General features: G+C 40.3%; 1 protein-coding gene across 4 annotated transcripts in view; it reads right to left on the bottom strand.

Annotated features, from left to right (window-relative positions):
* Window positions 1-23,258, bottom strand: part of CSNK2A2 (casein kinase 2 alpha 2) — a 40,200-nt gene that overhangs the window by 6,259 nt on the left and 10,683 nt on the right. For 2 of the 4 annotated variants that reach the window (NM_001896.4, XM_047433626.1), the window contains exons 3-10: window positions 22,590-22,691; window positions 20,095-20,145; window positions 10,286-10,345; window positions 4,445-4,528; window positions 3,520-3,630; window positions 3,042-3,143; window positions 2,419-2,519; window positions 1,395-1,543 (exon numbers count right to left, since the gene is read on the bottom strand). In NM_001896.4, coding sequence (NP_001887.1) covers window positions 1,395-1,543; window positions 2,419-2,519; window positions 3,042-3,143; window positions 3,520-3,630; window positions 4,445-4,528; window positions 10,286-10,345; window positions 20,095-20,145; window positions 22,590-22,691 — 760 coding nt within the window. Of the gene's footprint in view, window positions 1-1,394; window positions 1,544-2,418; window positions 2,520-3,041; window positions 3,144-3,519; window positions 3,631-4,444; window positions 4,529-6,199; window positions 7,122-10,285; window positions 10,346-20,094; window positions 20,146-22,589; window positions 22,692-23,258 lie in introns of those variants that run through there. The other 2 variants (XM_005255801.4, XM_017022945.2) reach the window with 2 other exon arrangements.

Here is a 23,258-nt window from a genome sequence, read left to right on the forward strand (position 1 = left end):
AAAGTCAGGCAATCAGGGTGGTGAGTGCTGAGAGAAGCCCATGGCAAACCCACCCTTTCAACGGAAAGAGAGACAGACTGATGGGCAAGCCAGGGTCAGGGGGGCAACAGGAGAGACGGAAATCACGGAATTCCAGCCATATAAAAACCAAACACTGAAAAATGATCAGGGAAATTGTTATTGCAGTCAACTCTTACCCTTCCTCGGAGTACAGACTCAATGCTAAGAGGCATAGAAACTCTAATTTCCCACTGTTCAAATTTCTACATTTATTTTCTTTCAATATTAATATCATCTCTAACCCCTAATTTCTTCAAAGCATGTAGAATAACAAGCACTTCAAAGGAAAGGTGAGTAAAAAGAGCCATCAGAAGACCTATCCATTTTAAGCAACCGTAGTTTGAAATTTTTTAAATTGAAGTATGACATATATTCAGAAAAGCAGAAAGATCATTAATGACATGTCATAAACATCAGTATTCCTAATTTGATCTAACTCGGGTAAAAACAGCTTTCTGTGCCAGACACTGGGGCGGGGACATCTGAGTTTCCTGGGGCTGAGGTCTAGAAGGCTGAAGGCTTTTCCATTTGCGGTCTCCCTTATGCATATGGGCCACAGGCTCAAGACTACAGCGACACATTCTTCAGGCAAGAATTTAGTTCATCTCCAGAGGAAATCAAAGGAGAGGGAAAGACAGCATGTTTGTTAAGCCAGAGACAACGACTTTAAGGGGTGAACGTTTCCCTCTTGATTCAGAAAGCGACTGAGGTAAGTCTCTCAACCTCCCTGCTCCCCAGGAAGGAGACTGATAATAGGAGGAAGTTTATTTGAAACACACGTTATCAGAGGAAAGAACCATACACATGCAGAAGAATAAGCAAACACGCAAAGTGAATCCACACACACTTCTAAGTGAGCAGTTCAGTCAAGATTTCAGTGAGGCCTCTCCACACTTACTTCCCTTTCCTCAAATTCCTTTCGTCCATCCATCTGTTCATCTCCTTCTTTCAAAACATACAATAGTTATCTTACTACTTTTAACTAATTACTAGTTTTCTGAGGGGAGAAATAATCTTCAATTAGGTTTCCACACAAATATATGTATGTTTAAAAAGAAATTTTAGAAACTTGCGATCTATTAACTCAGGGTAACAGGGAGTAGTCAAACAGCTTGAACTCCGGGGAGATACATTCAGTGAATAAGCAAACACCTTTGGTGATCAAGAAACGGATCTGCAAAGTTGTCTCAATCATCTACGATAAATGAGGCCAAATTCTAGGAATAATCCAATCCAAATACCCTAGAATTCTCCTGACTGGTCTCAAAGACAAAGAGTGGAAGATTTGTTCTCTTGACTGAATTACTCCCTGAACACAGTCCCTGGAGACTCACAGAAGTATGGGTGCTCCATGGCCTCTTTGGCAGTCAGTCTCTGTTGATGGTCGTATCGCAGAAGTTTGTCCAGAAGATCTAGGGCCTCAGGGCTGACAAGGTGTCTGTTCTCACTATGGATAAAGTTTTCCCAGCGTTTCCGTGAATGTCTGAGAAGAAAAATGAAGCATTAGTAACCAGAGACTAAATTCAACAAGAATCCTTATCTACTAGGGCTAAAGCCAACAAAATCTCAGAATAATGTACTGATTACAAGCTTGTTAAATCTCTAACTGGTGCCTGCCCTACGGCCCCATAGTTACAGCATAGCATCCTGAAACACAATGGTGCTCTGTGATTAGAAAAATACAACTAGGTAAAACTTCTATATCTCATTTAGAATATGTGGAACCTTTCTAGATTATTTTTTATGCTGTAGACTTTTAGTCAATTCTGGGTGGCATGCAGAAGAGTGGGCAATTTTTATTGGTCAGCAGATATATTTCCCAGGGCTAGCCTCAGAAACAGGGAGGTTCCATAAAATACTGTTTGAAAACTGTTAACAAAATGTTTACTTCTCAACATTATTGCAATGTACCTGAAAACTCAATGTGCTTTAAAATTTGCTATTGTATAGAAAATCCATTACAGAGAACAAGAAGAAATTGTAAGTCCACCTTGAAGAGATATGAAGTAAATAAAATAAAATATAATAAAAAACAAACTAAGTCTCTTATTCAAAGAATCATTGCTCTCCAAGTTTGGCCATTAAAAATAAGCTTTTGCTGTACCAGAAAACTTTTTTCTATAACATTATGATTTTTGTTTTACCTTTTCTATTAATAGGTTATCTCTCAGAGAAGTAAAATGATTAAAAGACATAAAGTCCAAATATCTCAATAAGTTAAAAGAAAATATGCATAGGAAAAAAGAGGGCTACTTCCATTTTACTATAATCAGAATGGGAAAAGAAAGTGATTTTGGCTAACCTTTCCACTTCTGAAACGGGGTAAGGTAAAGCACTCTCTCTCTCTCTCTTACTTACTGTCCCAGGATATCGTTGAAGTGTGGATCTAGGTCTATGTGATACTTCTTCAGATACCCATACAGTTCTTCTGTACCCAGAACCTTGGCAATGCGAACAAGCTGAAACACAAAACAAACTGACCAAATCACTGAGCACAGAACACACCATGAGCCCGTGAGGACACTGCACCAAGGAATCAGAAGACTTCCACACCACTAAACCTCTAGGAACGAGATACAAACCCAGGTCCAGGGCAGGCAGACAGACCCAAGGACAAGAAGTTCACATGAATGCAAATTTCCAAACGGCCTTTAAAATAATACAACTTACGATAATAATCTTCTAGAGGTGGACCAGTACAGGGCATCACAATCTAATGACTAAAATCTAGTTTTATTAGACAAGGAGGTGCCTGACTTCTTCACAGATTCACTTTGGAAGTTTGGCATAGATGGCATTATCTGCCTCTACTTCTGCGGACCTGGTAAACACAAAATTCTGTGCGATCTTTATCTTGAAGAAAAGCTCATATGCAGACACTGAGTGATACTTAGTGGCTCAAGGATAGTATTCTTATCTAAGGATGCTATTTTTTTGGCATTCACCCCCAAATAAATAAGAACCAGAAAGCATTTGCTCACCTGGTCATAGTTGTCCTGTCCATGGAAGAATGGTTCCCTTCGAAAGATCATGCTTGCTAACATACAGCCCAAACTCCACATGTCCAAGCTATAATCATACATCTGAGGCAATAAGGACAACGCATTAGCCAAGGGTATTAGAAATCCATTTTTCTGATATAAATTTCTTTTTTAGACGAGATTGGGCGTGTTCAGGGTGGTATGGCCATAGATAATTTATTTAAAAAAAATTTTTTTTAACTTCCTGGCTCCTAGAAATGATCTGAATTTCTAGTCTTCATTTAACCTTTGCAGATATTTTAGATTTAAAAACTTCTCTGTCCCCCCAAAAAACTAGCTGAGAAAAAACTAAAATCAGCATTTTAGGGTGAAATAATGGCTGGGTTTTGAGTGTATTCAAACTGACTAGATCAACAGCAAACCAGAAAAGCCCTAAGCAAGTATAAATAACCCAGAATAGCTCTGCTAACAAGTTTACCTGATAGTCCACGAGGAGCTCTGGTCCCTTGAAGTACCTTGAGGCTACACGAACATTGTACTCCTGAGCAGGATGATAGAATTCTGCCAGACCCCAATCTATCAGTCGCAGCTACAAATAGGACAGAAAAAAACATGTGAAAGGAGTGTTTCTAGACGCCTATGCCTTAGAACAAGGCCACATCACATTAGGTAACAATCATTTGGCCACACAAAAAATGTGAGCAGGTGCACTGGCTTAAAAATTACATTTTCAGCAATCGTGCAAGAGGTCATTTTTAGAGCAGAACACTTGAAATGCTTTTTGAAAAAATTTTAAATTATCCTGGTTCATCCCTCTCTCTAGATCAACAGAGCTCAACCTTTTTTTCTGCCCACATTCAGAAACTGTAGGCAGTTACACTTGGTAACACATTCTCCCATCATTCATAGCTTTTCGTTATAAGCTCCAGGCGTCAGTGAAAGGGCTGGGGACACACATCCCACTCCAGGACTGAAGCATTGCTCTAATGATTTATTCGTCTAATACTAGATGATCCATTTACTCACTGATTAGGGCCAACAGAGTTGGATATCAAAAATAGGAGGGACCCAAGTGTTCTTTTAAGGCCAGGCAGATTGGTCTGCGGGTCATCAAGAAATGAAGCAGAAACCACCAGCTGTAATTTCTTTCTGAGGCCCTCCAGAAAACTATGACCAAAATAAACAAGTGACTATAGTTAGTTACTATAGTTAAACCGTCTACTTTCCTTGTGTACTACACTATACAAAGTAGAAATCAACAATGGAGATGGGAGAAATCACAGTAACGAAAGTTTGCCAAAAAACCCACCACGGGTCTACAGAAACCATCATGGCACTGGACAGCTTTTTGGTCTGCTCTAAGCCTTTTAATCAAGCTTGTTGCTGCCTGGCTGTAATGGTACCTTTTTCTGTTGGTGATCTATCATGACATTGTGAGGTTTCACATCCCTGTGCATGATTCCCTTGCTGTGGCAGTAATCCAGAGCCTATTAGGTAAGAAAGCACAGATAATAGTAAGCAACCCCTCTACCATCCCCCAACGCAAGCATAGTCTTATTGTTTGTGACACCTTGACTTGAATACAGTCCCCCAACGGGCAGCTTGCTGCCTGTAATGAAAGAGAAAAAAAGCGTGCTTCAGAAGGCACCCCTTGCTCTCTCTGCACACTACAGCTGGTAGAAAGGGGGTATGAAGGGAATGGCAAGGGCTATGAGGAAGATTTCTTTTTTTTTTTTTTGAGATGGAGTCTTGCTCTGTCGCCCAGGCTGGAGTGCAGTGGTGCAATCTCGGCTCACTGCAAGCTCTGCCTCCCGGGTTCACGCCCTTCTCCTGCCTCAGCCTCCCGAGTAGCTAGGACTACAAGTGCCTGCCACTACGCCCAGCTAATTTTCTGTATTTTTAGTAGAGACAGGGTTTCACCGTGTTAGCCAGGATGGTTTCAATCTCCTGACCTCGTGATCCGCCAGCCTCGGCCTCCCAAGGTACTGGGATTACAGGTGTGAGCCACTGTGCCCAGCCGAGGAAGATTTCTTTAAAAGAGGGGGTGATGAGGCCAGGCACAGTGACTCATGCCTGTAATCCTAGCACTTTGGGAGGCCGAGGCAGGTGGATCACTTGAGGTCAGGAGTTCGAGACTAGCCTGGGCAACACGGCTATACTAAAAATACAAAAGTTAGCTGGGCGTGGTGGTGCGTGCCTGTAATCCCAGCCACTCGACTGGGCTGAGGCTGGAGAACTGCTTGAACCTGGGAGGTGGAGGCTGCAGTGAGCTGAGATGGTGCCACTGCACTCCAGCCTGGGCAAGAAAGGCGGGCAGTGGGGAGGGGGGTGTGTGTGTGGGATGATAAACCAGACTTTGGAACCTCACTGGAGTCACCTCTCATAATGGTTCAAAGGACAGACCAGCATCTATGTGGACATGAAGAATGACATTCAAATACATCTTTCAGTATGGCTTATTTTGTACATAAGGGTCCCACGTGGGTTTTCTAGATGACCAAGTATTAGTATTTTCCTTAATATAATCCCTGAGCCAGCTAGCCTTTAAGACTTATCATTATAAGGCCAGGCATGGTGCTCATGCCTGTAATCCCAGAACTTTCGGAGGCAGGCAGATCACTTCAGGTCAGGAGTTCAAGACCAGCCTGGCCAACATGGCGAAACTCCACCTCTACTAAAAATACAAAAAATTAGCCAGGCAAGGTGGTGGGCACCTCTAGTCCCAGCTACTTGTGGGGCTAAGGCACGAGAATTGCCTGAACCTGAGAGGCGGAGGTTGCAGTGAGCCGAGATGGCACCATTGCACTTCAGCCTGGGCAACAAAGCGGGTCTCAAAAAAAAAACAATTATCATTACATATTATTCCAAGGGAGAAAATTGCTTTGTTTAAGATGATTGATATGCAGATAAGATTTTATGTATATAATGGTTTTTCACAAATTTAAAAAGCTGTGCAACCATTACCACAATCCAGTTTTAGAACATCTCCATCACTCCTAAAATTTTTCTTGAGCTTGTCTGTAGTCAATCCCCTTTCCTAACTTCTCCCAACCCCTCCGTGCCCTGCCCACAACCACTGACCTGCTATTTGCTGGTATAGATTTGCCTTTTCTGTACATTCATAATATGAAATCATACATGTATAGTGCTTTGTCTACCTTCTTTCCTTCAGTATACTGTTTCTGAGATTCATCCAAGTTGTTTTTCCTTGCTGAGTAGTATTCCACTACTAGCTGATGGACATTTGGGTTGTTTCCACTCATGCTTTCATTTCCCTTGGGTAGATTCCTAGGGGTGGAAGTGCTGGGTTGTATGCTAAATTTGTGTTTAAACTTTTAAGAAACTGCCTAATTATCTTCCAAAGTGGCTGCGTCACTTTTACTCCCACCAGCAACCTGAGGGTTCAAGTTTCTCCACATTCTCATCAACACCTGTCATTGTTCAACTTTTTGATTATAGCTTTGCTGGTGGGTGTAAAGTGGTATCTCCATGTGGTTTTGATTTTTATTTCCATAATGAGTGATGAAGTGGAACTTCTTTTTATGTGTCTACCGGCCATTCTAAATCTTCTTTGGAGAAATGCTGATTCAAATCTTTCAATCATTTATTAGATTGTTAAGCTCCATTTTTTTAATGTAAAAATTTGCTTCTAAATCTCCCTTGCCTAACATAATAACTATCTTCATAAACTTCAAATTCAGGACCTTTGGCTAATCTTAACAAGCACCTGAATCCTACACAAGGTCAATGAAATACTCTTCAAGTAGAATCCCTGTCCTCTACCTACCACTAGAGCCCCCCTCCAGTTTTAACAACCAAAAATGGTTCCAGATTTTGCCCAATGTCCCCTGGGGGACAAGCTTGACCTGGATAAGAAGCAATAAACTAGACTCTTGAGGACACTTGAATGGACTTCTTCATGCTGGAGGAGTACACAAGGCAGAGAATGAGCCCTAGGATTAGCATTCCAGGAATAAGCTCCCTCGATCTGTGCTTTTCCCTGAACCAAGAGTATACAATATAGAATGCTTGTTATGGCCAGGCGTGGTGGCTCACGCCTGTAATCCCAGCAGTTTGGGGGCCAAGGCGGGCAGATCACGAGGTCAGGAGTTTTGAGACCAGCCTGACCAACAGGGTGAAACCCCGTTTCTACTAAAAATACAAAAATTAGCCAGGTGTGGTGGTGCGTGCCTGTAATCCCAACTACTCAGGAGGCCGAGGCGGGAGAACTGCTTGAACCCGGGAGGTGGAGGTTGCAGTGAGCCGAGATCATGCCACCGCACTCCAGCCTGGGCGACAGATAAAAAAAGAAAGAATGCTTGTTATTTGAAGATCAAGAACAGGCACTACTAACTATGGGGATACATATAAAGATATAATCTTCAGAGGAGACACTGAACAGAAGAACACAAGAGAGCCCTGCAGGATGTTCACAATATCCTCTACCAGCCCTGTCCAATAGGACCTTCTGCAATGATGGAAATATTCTATTCCTGCACTCTATAATACGGTAGCCACTAGCCACATGAGGCCACTGAGCACCTGAAATGTGCCTAGTGTGATTAGGGAACTAAATTTTATTTTATTATTTTATTTTTTTGTACAGGGCCTTGCTCTGTTGCCCAGGCTAGAGTGCAGTGGCATGATCTCAGCTCACTGCAACCTCTGCCTCACAGGCTCAAGTGGATCCTCCCACCTCCACCTCCTGAGTAGCTGGAACCATAGGCATGTACCACTACACCTGGAGCATGCATATATATATATATATATATATTTTTTTTTTTTTTTTTTTTTTGGTAGCTATGGGGCTTTGCCATGTTGCCCAGGCTGGTCTTGAACTCCTGAGCTCAAGCAATCAACCTGCCTTGGCCTCCCGAAGCATTGGGATTTATAGGCGTGAGCCACCGAGTCTGGCCAGCAACTAAATTTTGAATTTTACTTAATTTAAATAGCTACCTATGGGCAGTGGTTACTAACTATACTGGATATCATCGTCCTGTGTAAATCTGGGTGAGAGTTTTACATACACAAACATCCAAAAGACTGTACGTTTAAGATTTATTTACTTCACTTACATTCTACTTCAATTTTTTCCCTCTGTTTTATAATAACTGTAGCAAGATTCCAAAGTGCCTTTGTGGCAGTGCTTTATGAAACCAGGGGTTGTGAGGGCAGACCTCCTTGAATCTGAATCAGGAGATCAGGTTAAGTCACCGAGTCATCACACTGCAGCCCTCAGCCTCAGTTGCTTCTACATTTTCAAAGGAGTTAAATATTTAGTCTTCCCCACTCCTGTTTTTTCTTTTCAAAGAGAAAATTTACCAAGTGTTGATTCTGCTATATTGCCTACTCTTTGTCCAAAGGAATAAACTAATTAAGACCACAATACCTGGCATGTGAAAAATACTCAATGAAAGCAAAGGCTGAACAAATACAGTAAGGTAATTAATTCTTTTGCCAAGTTTCCTAGTCGGACTCCCTATGGAGTTACTGACATGCTTTGAAATTCTTTGGGGAATTATTTCAGTTTTAAAATCTCGTACAGTTTCTGACCATTAAGCATGAATGACGTTTTTCAAGTTTCATCTGGGATTCTACGTCTCATTAGCAAAAATAAGTATATGTCCTCACTGCCTAGCTGCTACCTCCAGAAAGCAGAAAGGACATCAGACATTGAGTGACACCCACATGTCCACCTGGGAAGACCTGCATTAGTTGGATGTCTTTATGGGACCTAAGGGCAGGCTAGCTTATACAACTTTAGCTTTGGCTGATGGTTAAATAACACAAAATCTCAAACCATCTTACTTAAAAATAACCAACTGTGAGATCTGAATTGTAGCTCTCATGGGGTGAGAGTGCATGGGATTACTCAGGAAGCACTTCCAGGAAAGGAGCTAGCCTGACAGTTCACAGGATCATGGCACTGCAAATTTTATCCACACCAATGCTTCAATTTTAGTCTAGAGAAGACATGGAGAAACGTGGGATAAATCAAGCTCGACCTTTTTCGTGTTTCTGATCTTACTGACAAAAAGGAAGACCCATTAGCCATAAGAGTGAACCTTAAATCCACCACCTCAGCTTTCTCTAATAAAAAGTGGTGCGTACAAGTTCTTATAAAAACACATTCATTTCATAGAACTGTTCTTAAGATCTACAACTACCCTAAAACTTTTCACAAGACTGCATATTAATACATGCATTTTTGGAGGCAGTTCATAGTTTTCATTAGGTTCTTAGTGATCCAGGACACAAAAATCTAGGACCCATGGGTGTATTCCATTTTACAAACTGAGCATTCCTTTAAGTGCTTATCTAGACAAACAAAATGATCATTCCTCCACCAACCAGTAATTCTTCAAATTTCATTGTGCTTGGGATTAGTAAGTCTCTTAGACATTCTACCCATCACTTTTCCCTGCATTAACGAGCCACGGCTACAGGGGTAGGTTAGGAAGACTCATGCAAGAAGGGGATGACGACACATGGCAAGGAAAGATGGCTGCAAATGCCTGCCACCCCTGTAGGCATGTCTCTCTATAATATGCCTACATATTCAATGCTTTTCCCATCAAGAGTGGAGTCGGTTTTTCCATGCTTTGAAGCTAGGCTTGGCCATGTGATTTGCTTTGGCCAATAGGGTTATTAGCAAATATGACACAGGTAGAGGGTTGAAAAGTGCCTATACATTGAGGTTTCCCTCTCTCTGCTGCTAGGAACCCCAGGAGGACCACCATGGGAAGCAGCATGAACTTCACAGGCTGGAGGATGAGACCTCAGCTATCCCTGCTGCCCCAGCTGTGGTCCTAGATTGTGAATGAGGTCATCCTGGACCATCCTGCCCCAGTCAAATCAACTGAGACCTAAAGAATCACCTGGCTAACTCAATTATAAGAAACAATAATCATTTTTTAAAAGTCATTAAGTTTGGGATGATTTGTTACATTCACAGTAGGTATTAATAAAGCAGCAAAGAGAAAACATATGGACCAACAAGAGCTATGGGAGGTTCTAAGGTATAATGTCCCTGGTACCCCTTGACTTGGCCACTTTTTTCCCAGTTCCACTGGAAAGTTTCTATGTGAAGATTCCTCGATGGAGGCCTCAATATAAGTTTAAAAACTTCACTAAATCCTCTGGGTATCAAGAAACATTCTGCTTAAGTTCTCTTTGTTCTCTCAAAAACTTATCTTTTAATGAACAGGCCTGAAAAAAATTAATGGTTTATGAACACCACTTACTTTAAGTAGTTCATACATATAAAACCGGATATCAAAGTCTGTCAGGATCTGGTAGAGTTGCTGAAACAGATTCCAGAAAACAGAAAGTTAATTTAGTCTCACTGCATCTTGTCATCCTAAGTGCAGGCCATTCTCTAAGCTTATTTGATACTTAAGTGACTAAGGAATCCCATGACTTTTTTACTACCTGATCTGAAATAAATGGGAAGACTAAAGATGAAGGTTTTATATTTTAATCATCAGAAGAGAAGAAAAAAAAAAATGGAAGGAATTCCAAGGGAGAAAAACATTTAAGCCAACTCAGATCTTTCCTATTTAATGCTCTGTGATTTTGCCAATTACAATTATTAACCACAATTACACCATTGTGAAGTCTAAGTTGTCTGTCTTCACATTCTTACCGAACATCAAGAAAACTAACCCCACTGTAACACCACAGTATACTCTAGAGAAGTGAGTTCTGAGTGGATGGCAGAGCTCTGAAGAACTTCATGGGCTACTGTGGTAAAACAGTGGCGACACAGGCTGTTCTCAAAAAAGAAAAATAAGGAAAAAGGAGGTGCTATAGCATTTGCAGATGGCAAGAGCTTACAAAAAAATCTATACCCTCTGCTCCCCGGAAACCAATTCCAGACTGGAAAAAAAGAACATTTCACAGGCAACACCTGACGTCTTAGGAGTGAAAAAAGACAGGGGTATCAAAAATGATCACTGGCCAAACTGATAGGTAAATGGAAGTTTTCATTATTGGTAATCCAGAGACCCACTCGCTGGGAGTTTTTAAAAAATTTCTAAGAGTCAGAATACATTAATGCTACAAGCTTCATTAAAGGCATCATAAACCCTTGTCAGGAACTCTCATTATCTTTGATATCCAATCAAATCCATGTAAATCTGTTTTCCCATCAATCCAAGCCATGCTTTCTATAAAATTAAGAAACACACCTTTATTAAACTTCTCTTGTTCTTCTATTGAAAGAGAGACTCAAGCAATGTAGGGAATCTCTCCAGGGAACACAGAACAGTGTATATAATGTGTCTCTGTAATAAGGGGGAAAATAAAAACTATACATCCATATTTTCTGTATCTGCAAAAATGATACAGAAGTAATAAAAACTGGTTTCACGTATATATGTGTAAAGGAATAGGCAGCTGGAATACAGGGGAATAAAAGAGACTTTTCACTGTCTACCATTTTATATTTTTGATCCACATATAATGTTCAAAAAAATTTAATAAAAAAATCAAATTTGCCAAGAACCAAATTTAACATTTTCTAAGAATACCAGGTCTTTGCTTTCTCAAGTTTCCCCCTTTAGGTAAGAGTAATTCCCCCTGCCAGCTTAGGAAAAATATTTGATTTCATCAACCTCAGGGCAGCGCAGGGAACGAAATGCACAGGCCAGTACATGGTGTTGTGGGGTTGGGTGGCTGGCCCTGGCTACAGCTGACCCCCATTCAGGCAGAACAACACCAACAAGCCACCACTTCTGCTCAGGAGAGCTTCAGCTACATAACACACACCCAAGCTTTTTGTTCTTCTCCCAGCTCTGCTGCAAGAAGGCTTCTTAGCCAGGACTTGGCTGCACACTGACAGCTTGAATGTAAAGACAGGCTTAAGATGCCATCTCTTGGGTGTCAAAGCAGCTCCTCCTCTGTGAGTTAAGGAAATCACTCACAGAGACTAGGCTAAATTGAACTTCAAGTCAATAAATACGCTATGAAAGAGAAAAGATCTAATTTTCTAACCCTTAGAGGGCTGGAATATTTTATTTCCAGAAAACTAACATGGGCTATCTCATTAGGACTTTTATCTGTGGAAGGCCTCCCTCATCATGTGGTACCTACACCATGCATCTGTATAAATGGTGTAAGCCATAAAAATAAATGTCTCTGGACTGCCAACACAGTATTTCTAGCTACAAAAACCATTAACAATTTAATTCAAAGACACCAGTTGTACACTAGTGTTTAGGACTAAGATATTACAAAGTCCCAAGTGACTGGTTGCCATTCACCCTCACTTCTCAGGATCTCCGGGTAGGAGGAGACCAAACTACATCTGTAACATTTAACCGCCTGGGCCCAAAATTCAAGACTATGCAGGGTCCACAGTCTGGCTTCCTCCGACTTTTGTAGCTCTGTTCTTCACTGTACCCCCAGGAGTCCACAGCTCTGACAAAACAAGCCCGTGTTTGCTGCCTCCACTCTTCCCTCTCTAGCCCTACTCCACCTTAGCCTGTAAAGCCAAAACCAACCTGTCTGCTTTCTACAGAGCTGACAATGATACCTCCCTTCTCTATCTCCATGCCACTGACTCTCCAATGTGGCTGTGCACAGGACACCATTAAGAACACAATGTCCCCAGAGTTAACATTCCTCACACAGGGACTGGTGGTAACCTCAGGTTCTCAAGGTGACTCCTCACTCTGCTGCGTGCTTTGTCCAGACCCCAAGAGTCTCATGCCAACATTCCCTGTGCTTCGTGGCATACACAACAGGGAGAAATGGGTACAGTGGCTGGTGGCAGAGTCATCAAATTTGGTGATAAAAGATCTCTGAACTCTCCCCACCACCCAAGTATGCCAAGGGCCCACTGAACAACTCACTCAGTACCACACCCATTTCCTACACTGAACTCCAACCACATATGAAGTCCTCACACAGCCGAAAAGCAAGTGCTTCATACACCAAACACCATGTATGGCAGCTCTGTCTTGCATACATGTTTTTACAATGTTCACAGTCAATGGAACAAAACAGAAGCACTCTTCCAAGAAACAGAAGTACCAAGAGTCCATGACACATTAGAAAGAGAAACGTCACAAGAACTACACTTTCTCTCCCTTCTTCTTAGCCAGCTACAGGGAGAACATTATTAAACAATCCACTGCAAAATGCTGGCAGGAAGTCAGCTTTGGTTACATTTTCAAAAAATAAATGACTTAAAAGGTGGAAATTTCCTGGGCCTTTTAATTAGCTCCAAAAAGTCTGAGGAGGGCCTCCATGGTGTAAAACCACAGACACCCACAAAGGCATGGCCACAGGTGGGCCTCACTGCTACCGTAGGCATACACACAGCTGTTCAGACTCCAAGTGCAATTCAGCTGCATCACCATGAGCCACAGATCTGAAGACCCCATTCCCAACCATGACCTTCAGGAAGATTCACACTTTTATAAGACAGCTTCCCAGGCAGCTCTGGTCACCTGCCAGATGTGGGAATCACCAACACACCAAACTCTCAAGCCACACAGTGTGTGCACATTCCCTGATATACACAGCTCAGTCTATGCCCATAAATCCCTGTCATGTGTAGAGAGAAGAAAAAGTGGTGGGATACATAAAGTCCAAGCAAAAGAGGTATTTACTGTAGCAGTCACCAGTTTAAGAATTGTTTACATGTAACCTCTAAGTTCCAGAATAAAACCGAGGTCAACGTTTTTAGAAATTTAAGGAAGTAGAATAAATCTTTAATCAAGCAGATCAAAGTTATTACGAATCCCCTGAAAATGTCACTTATTTTCCTACAAGGAAATGACAAAATAATGTTAACGACCTATAATAACATACACGACATAATATAAAAGTACAATTTGTTTCTCCAATTAAGGAAACTATTTAGTCTGTAAACTCAACCTCTAACAGAATTAACAAGGCCTCACATTATTTACTAAGTGGTGATTTACCTCTATGTGAGTGATTTAGAAATCCTCCAAATATCAATATGATTCTACCAGCTTCTTAGGATGGAGCCCATTTGGAGTGTCTTATCGAAATCTTTTTTTTTTTTTTGTATTTCAAAATAGTACCTTAGCTTCTCTTGAGGCGCTTTTTTTTTCTTTCAATTGAGATGGAGTCTCACTCTGTTGCCCAGGCTGGAGTGCAATGGCAAGATCTCTGCTCACTGCAACCTCTGCCCCCTCGGGTTCACGTGATTCTCCTACCTCTGCCTCCTGAGTAGCTGGGACTACAGGCGTGCACCATAGCCCGCCGAATTTTTTTGTATTTTTAGTGACGGGGTTTTGCCATGTTGGTCAGGCTGGTCTCTAACTCCCGACCTCAGGTGATCTGCCTGCTTCGGCCTCCCAAAATGCTGGGATTACAGGCATGAGCCACCGCACCCGGCCTGAGACACTTTTAAGTATGGGAGGTTGCTACAATTATTCAGTCCAACTCTTAGAGACTGACTTTTCTCATTCATTCGTTTCGAAGTTTTGTCTTGTTCTAAAGTATCTTTATTACAGTTTTGGCATATATGAAGCATAAAAACTGCTGATTTTAAGGAGAAACTGACCAAACCAATACCTCTACCATAAAGTGAAATACAAGGAAAAAAATTAGTAGGCCATAATTCTGAACTAAATTAACACACTTGGTATAACAAATGATCATGTACTAAAGTTACAAAGCAACCATCAACAAATTCCAAATAATTAACATTATATAGGTCACGTTCTCTGAACATAGTGCAATCAAATTTTTAAAAAATTCACCTGGATTCTGGATCACACATTCACAAACACACAGCTATAAAGAACATTACTGAAACAATAATTATAGAGAAACTTTTGAGTATGAACTTATCTTAGATGGCATTATTGTATAAATATTAAATTTCTTTGGTATACTAAAAGTATTGTGGTTTGCATAGGAAAACAGCCTAGTTTCAGTGCTAGCGTATTTACAAGTGACGTATCATAATGATGTCTGCAACTTAATTTAAAATGACTCAGCAAAAAGATAAAATAGAAATAGAAAGGAGAGGCTGAGCATGGTGGCTCAAGCCTGTAATCCCAGCACTTTGGGAGGCCAAGGTGGGCAGATCACCTGAGGTAAGGGGTTCAAGACCAGCCTGGTCAACATGGTGGAACCCTGTTTCTACTAAAAATACAAAAAATTAGCTGGGTGTGGTGGTGCACGCCTGTAGTCCCAGCTACTCAGGAGCCTGAGGCAGGAGAATCGCTTGAACCCAGGAGGCGGAGGTTACAGTGAGCCAAGATCAGGTCACTGCACTCCAGCCTGGGTGAGAGATAGAGGCTCTGTCTCAAAAAAAAAAAAGAAAGAAAAGAGAGGGTGAGGGGACAGGGAGAAAAATAACTGCAAATGTGGCAAAACAGTAACAACTGGTAAATCTAGGTGAAGAATATATACTGATTGTGCTACTCCTTCCAATTTTCCAAGTAAAAAGTCTTCGGAGAAAAATGCAAATTCACAATGTTGCAGTTTGCACTTCTAGTTTGAAAACTATCCAGAAGTGAGTTCCATAACCATGGGATACACGTAAAATGACGCTTAGGGTTGTACAAACTTAAGCACATGTATTGTCAAGAAAAACAAAATCAAGGCCAGGCGTGGTGGCCCACACCTGTAATCCCAGCACTTTGGGAGGCCAAGGCGGGTGGGTCATGAGTTCAGCAGTTCAAGACTAGCCTGACCAACATGGTGAAACCCCGTCTGTACTAAAAAATACAAAAATTAGCCAGGCATGGTGGCACACGCCTGTAATCCCAGCTACTCAGGAGGCTGAGGCAGGAGAATCACTTGAACCCAGGAGGCGGAGGTTGCATTGAGCCAAGACTGTGCCACTGCACTCCAGCCTGGGCAACAGAGCGAGACTCCTTCTCAAAAAAAAAAAAAAAAAGAAAAAGAGAAACAGAATCCAATGAGTTTAATTCAACTCAAGAAATGAAGAAGAAAACCACTGAAAGCCCAACAAAGTTGAAGGAAGAAAGAAGAAAAATAAGATAGGAGCAGAAAGAGAAAAACAAACAAAAACAATAACTGAGCAATAAAACCAAAAAGCTGGTTCTTTTAAAAGATTAACGACAGATCTCTAGCACGACTGATTTAAAAAGGAGTAAAGGCACAAATACTACTTAAAAATGTGAAGGAAAGGATAACTACAGATACTCCAGAGTTTTTTTTTTTTTTTGTGACCAGTCAACAATATAGTTTTTAAGTCCTAAGAGAATTCTTTGTCAATCAAATTGAAAGTGAATAAAATATATATTATCCAAATAGACTCAAGAAGAGACAGAAAACCTGGATAAACTTTAAGTTATGTTTTAAAAAGGAAAGTATAGTTCAAAGTCTTCCTCCCATCCTTGAAAGACATCTATCCATATAATACCTATCTTACATAAACTTTCAGAGAATAGGAAGAGGAAAAGCTACCCAATCTATCTTATATAGTATAACCTTGATAGCAAACTTAGAGAAGGACCCTATGACAAAATAAAATTATAGATCAAAATTTATAATCCATTGCACAAATATAAAATACTGAAAAGAATGGGCTGCGGGCTGCATCACTGTTAATTCACCCTGGTATTAACGAGGAATGAACACTCTCTGGGTGATAATCTTAAAACCAGTTATTAATATACTTTACACTAAAATTAAAAAGACAAAAAAACAAACTTTCCTAATAAGATGGACACAGGACAAAATAAAAAGACTAAAGGACATCACGACGGTGAACTAAATGATTTTGTTTGTGGCCTGCCATACTATCTGGAAAAGAATTTAATTTTCCTGCCATGATTTGCTCTTCAAAAATACACATCTGCCATCTGATATTTAATGATCTCTTGATTAAAATGTCATGGCTTGAACATTCAAAGGGGACCTCCAGTTAAACAAGGCAGATCAAACACCTCTGCTCTACCTGAAACTCCTCTAAAATAACCGTAAAAGGAGCAGGGAGATTAAATCGTAAGAACTAAGAAGATAGGAGAAACAACATTGTGAAGCTAGAAAACATGTCTCTGCCAACAGCGAAAGGCCAAAAGCAAACAGCTTCAAACTGAACAACCTCAGAAATGTTCAGGACGGGGGACCTCCAATGTTGGTTTAAGAGAGGAAACAGAGTGCACCGGAAACGGGAAAATGAGTTTAAGATGCCACACTGAAAAGGGGAGACTTAGGTGAAGTCTGCACAACATTCCCCATGGTTCTCCTCAACTTGAGGCTAAGATACCAGCAGCCAAGCCTGCATCCTTGAGACAGGGGCTGATGGTTCTTTAGAGCAATGAGCAGACATTCAAAAACCATGATATTTCAGAGACTGAATAACAAAATAACAAAAACTCACACACAAAGAAAAATAGAGAAAAAGTATGAAGGGAAAAAATACAATATTCTTAGTGAGAAAATAGAAGGTATTACATAAAACATAAAAGAACAGGATACTATTTTAAAAAGTTCCAAGACCAAAATGGAGCTGTAAGATGTGAAGTCTAACATTTGAATGAGTTCTGGAAAGTGAGAACAAAGAAGAAAGGGGAGAAAAATCAAAGAACATTAAAAATATTTTTCCAAAACACAGGGGAAAAAGCCCAGCAAGTATGCAGAACAAAAGATAAAAGGGACCCATACGAAGGCACGTCATTGTGAAATTTCAGAAGAGTGCAAATGAGAAAATCCTAAAAGCTTCCAGAGGTAAAAAACAAAAACAAAACCGTCACATAAGATGAAACTAGAATGGCTTCAGTGGTAATACTGGAACAATCTCTTCAAAATCAAGGAAATTATGAATTATAACCTAGAACTCTATACCCTAGCAAATACATTAATTGGCAGGACAAAATAAAAATGACTTCAGATATGCAAGCTTCAAAAAAACATTAATTTCCCATAATCCCTTTAAAGAAAGCTACAAGAGAATGTATGAAACATCCCCTTTGAGGGTTAAGACCCCAGAGAGAATTTCTCTAAGAATTAGAATTCCCACTAACTGATCTTCAGCAGTTGTTAAATCAACAGAGCAGATGTCACTTTAAGAAACAGAAAATGGGCTAGGTGCGGTGGCTCACGCTTGTAATCCCAGCACTTTGGGAGGCCAAGGCAGGTGGATCACGAGGTAAGCCATCGAGACCATCCTGGTTAACATGGTAAAACCCCATTTCTACTAAATATACCAAAAAAAAAAAAAAAAAAAAAAAAAAAAAAACTAGCCAGGCGTGGTGGTGCACGCCTGTAGTCCCAGCTACTTGGGAGGCTGAAGCAGGAGAATTGATTGAACCTGGGAGGGGGAGGTTGCAGTGAGCCGAGATTGCGCTATTGCACTCCAGCCTAGGCGACAGAGCGAGGCTCCGTCTCAAAAAAAAAAAAAAAAAAACAAAACCACAAAATGCTGAGGTGAAATTTTACACATGTAGCAGACAATTGGTAAAAACTCATTAACGAAGCCCAGGCATTTAAAACTTGGGGAATTACACTACGAACTTCCATTCAGATAAGGTTTCAACTTTTGCATTAGGAAAATATTTGGTTTCATTAAAGCCTATCTGGTTTTCTAAGACATGCACACACATTCCCACTCACATATACCAGGATAAACCTGGGTGATTCATAGGATCAGCTACACATATCAGCATAGTACCCTACCAGCTAAGCGCTGTTATGCTACTGAATGAAAAAATTTACACCCTGCTTTTTAGAGTTCACTGCTAATTTCACCTGTAAGGAGTCACATTAACAAGAAAATCTGTCACATGTGGGAAAGTGCTATACTACACATAAAACTTCCTTATTGTTTTATAAGTCAAAATATCTTCTTTTGCTTACTTTTCACTAATTAACCTTGTTTTAGTCATTTTAGAGTGATTAAGAAAAATTAGGCCAGGCGCGACAGTGGCTCACACCTATAATCCCAGCCCTCTGGGAGGCCGAGGTGGGTGGATCACCTGAGGTCAGGAGTTTGAGACTAGCCTGGCCAACATGGTGAAACCCCGTCTCTGCTAAAAAAAATTTAAAAATTAAAAAAAAAAAATTAGCTGGGGGTAGTAGTGCATGCCTGTAATCTCAGCTACTTGGGAGGCTGAGGCAGGAGAATCGCTTGAACCCGGGAGACAGAGGTTGCAGTGAGCCAAGATCACACCATTGCACTCCTGCCTGGGTGACAAAAGCGAAACTCGATCTCAAAAAAAAAAAAAAAGTGTGAGAATAAGGTTCTCTTACTTTTACCCAGAACCATCCGTCCTGATACCAACATCTTTTAACTGCTGATTTAGTTTTGTCTCTAGCTCCTGTCACAACAAAATCACAAGTCTCTTATTCACTGACAGAGTTACAATCAACTACAAGTCCTCCAAGTGCCCCTGAAAATCAACACTACTATTTTGTTTGTATATTGGTTTTTAAATTACGTTCTAAAAAAGGGTTTCCACCATGTCTAGTATGCCTAACCCCAAAAACCTTGATATTAAGGTTTTAATGTTTGAACAATAAATTTTGTGAAACACGAGCTTAAAACCATGATTTAAAAAGAACACTTCAATGTCTAAAATAATTTACATTATAAGAAAATGTAAAAAACCCGATAGGGCTCTTCTAAAGCACTGACTCTGGTTTTTCTGAATCATTTCTTTGTACGTCACGTGCGCAAACACACACTTTGTTATTTGACAGCACTGAATCCAATGCATTGCTTCTTTTCACAAGGGCCTTGTATCGGTCTATCCCTTCCTCTCGGCAAAGTAAGATTTCGTACAAAAGGCAAAGTTAACATACAACTAAAGCTATGCTGTCTAAAACAGGAGTGTTACAGATGAGGCATTAGCTTAGACCCAGCCGAGCAGCTACTCCTGGAGTAGGCAAGGCAAAGGGTGATTAAGTAATTTCACCTAATGCAAGAACCCTAGCCACTTTCTGCATCCTGCACTCATGCCTTAAGGAACCCAATTTGTTATTTCCTCCTCTCACCAATGACAGCCCTGGCCCCTTGGGTTCTGGAGTACACAGTATTTATCACCAGCTCCCCCTCACCCCGTTAACCCCATGCCAGAAAGAAAAGCATACGCACCTTAAAATCTGTATTATTGATATATTCAAATACCAAAGCTGGTGTCTTTGACTGTAAAAGAGAATATTAATGCTTTTTAAGTACCCAAACAATAATCAATGTAATCTGCTTCTGCCAAAATGGCCCATCCCCAAATCCTACTTAGGTAACACAGGGATTCACTCATCAGGGACAGCCTGTCAAGAAAAGTATTCTCTTGAAATTTTATGATGTCTGGAATTTGCTTCAAAATAACTGGGGATAGTGGGAGGTGGGAAGTGGTGGGAGTATAGATGAAACAAGGTTGGCCACAGCTGATTAACTGCTAAAGTTGGGTCATGTGTGAGGGAAGTTCATTACATTTTTCATTTACTTTTGAAAATGGTTGAAAATTTCATAATAAAAAGTTTTAAGAGGAATGTATTCTCCGAATAACCTACCAATGGCCTTAACCAATCTTCAAAGGTTATGTGAGGATTTACACCCTGCAGTGTTCCAGTCTGCCATATACAAAAAAAGTGACACATTTTCATCTTAGTTTAGCAAGCCAGAATTGCACTTGACAGAATTATCATAGGTTGTGGGAATGTATCATAGGTCTTTTGGGGGTCCAAAAGGAAAATATAACCATCCGTGATATTATCAATAAGCTATACTATAATATTATTGCCTTGGCTAGAGACCATTAAAGATTGTCTCATCTTATCAAGCAGACCTGTTCCTAAAAACTCATATATAATCAAATATTTTTAAAGCACTATAATCTTTAATCCAATGAGTACAAAAGTGCTCAATATCATCTTGTGTAAATCTAGATTTTCAAATAACAGGATTCCTTAATTGAAGTAAAATAACGCTAATTGGCAGTAATAAGCTTTCAAAATTGGGAGAAAGTAGGGACTTAAGGGGTTATAGAAAAAAAAAAACATCTAGAAATCTTTGCTCAAGAACCATGTGAAAGTTACCTAGGAAACAGGCCACAGGGCAGCATGCAGATCTCTGCGAGGACAACTCAGAGTCCAAACAGCAGCCCCAGTAGCAGCCATGATTAAAAATTCTTCACCAGCCCGAAGCTGTAAGGGTTTCATCAGTATTACCACTTCTCTCAACGGGAGAATAGTGGAGTAAGCCTGACCTTCTAATAGACAAGGGGTCCCTGTTGATTTTTGTCATCTTCAACTTACTTGTCTTACATATCATGTAAAACATACACATACTTTAACAAATTAAGTTCTGCTAACTTAAAAAAAGAAAAAGCAAAACAAAAATGCTCCTGGTATACCACATACTGACTCACATTTTAAAAATTATTCTGAAATTCATATTTTTACACGGTGCTCATTTTTCCATGGGTACTCATTTCTAATGCAGCCCATTTTCAAACATGAGGCAGTCCAGAACTAGTCATTATAAAATCAATTTGTGCTAAAAGGACAGGATATCTTAAAGGCCAATTAGTTACAATCTGGCATACAACCATCCCTTCCCTTCTCAGTCTTCTCAGGGTCCAGAAGGAAAAACTTTCCTTATGCTTCAACAATACTGTGTAATCTTGAGTGAATTTTTTAACCTCTGCAAACTACGGTTTTCTCATCTGTACAATGTAAACAATAAATGGTACCCACCCCAATGGACTGTTGTGAAGACTGAGTGACATGGCACAGTTGGGCACTTGGAATGTGCCCAGCACATAGTAAGCACTCAGTGCATGTTAGCTACTATATTATTATGAGGATGTCTTTAGCAGCCAGAAGCAAAAACCTATTTCTTTAATAAACAAAACTATCATGGGAGGATAACAGGGAAATATCTGAGGTACAGCAGGTGGAGAACAGCAATGGGACAAGAAGGGGTACAAAAGTGGGGAGGTGAGGTGTCTCCAACCTTAGCTAATCAAAAACACCTAAGGTTAAGTTACTCCCTAGGGAGAGAAAACAAAATTAAACAGCACATTTAAAATGGCTACAAACTGAGCACTGACAAAAATATTTTAGTCTATCTACACATGTGACATGAGCCCTAATGGCATATGCTGATTTAAGGGAAAGAAGAAGACTTCTTCACAGGGTCAGTGGAGCTGGGACCTGCTCAGGCCTTTATGCCAGGTGTCCACGTGGAGATATTCATTCTTTCCTTGTGTAAACCCAGATTTTCAAATGTCATGCTTACTTAAGTGAGGTAGAGTAACACAAATTGGCAGTAATGAACTTTCAAAACTGGAAAGAGGCTGGGGCTTAAAGGAGACATTCAGCAAACATTTGTGGGCTGAATCAAAATAGTGAAGTACAAACCCAGAAAAGGGATTTTTCTCTGTACACTTTTAGGTTCCATCACAGTGGTGGTAGCTGTTTTATCACTGGGTCACCATGATTTTTTTCTGGTTTTCAAACCAGTCAGTAGTTAAAGACAAACACCACCATCCCCACTGTATCATTACGTGAGGTTCTGTGTGTTAAACAACTCCCATATCCACACCCCGGTCTACTAGTATACTCCCCCAACCATTTGGCACCTACCACGGGGTCCTTTACAGTGTCAATCAGCTTAATGATATTTGTTCCACCACGAAGGTTCTCCAGAATCTTAACCTCTCGTTTTATCTTCTTTTTCTTCACTGGCTTAAATACACAAGAGTAATCAGAAGTGAGACTCCTTTTGAAGTTAATAAATAAAACTTTAAAACAATGTTAGCCAATCAGATGGATAGTACGCTATCTTGTACACTCTGTTGTGTTCAAGAGTGTGCCTAAATTTGAAAAAACTGAAATAGAATGGGCTTGCCCATAAGAACCTTTAACATTAAGTTAAATAATTTACAGACTCATACAGCTTATGTGTCAAGATCTTCTAAGTAGTTACATTGAGGGCACTTAAAAATTTTGAATACCCATATCACACTTTAAAAATAAAACTTGGGCTTACTAGATAACTGCCAAGTGGAAAATATAGCTCTGAACAGCTGTATATCATGCACTCACAAATGGAAAAACTGAAACAAAATGGTGAGACACCTGCTCTTCCAATGAGTTACATGTAATTTTGTCTTTCAGGAGTGAAAGACCAGTTCACTGACATCAGGTTACAAACTTGCTTCCCAGCTGCTGGCTCTCATTTCCTGTCACCACTCCCATTTCCTTAATATCTAGAATCTGAAATCAGCACAGAGCCAGTTAATGTTTTCCAAC

This window comes from Homo sapiens, chromosome 16 (genome assembly GCF_000001405.40).
Source record: "Homo sapiens chromosome 16, GRCh38.p14 Primary Assembly".
Taxonomy (NCBI): Eukaryota; Metazoa; Chordata; class Mammalia; order Primates; family Hominidae; genus Homo; species Homo sapiens.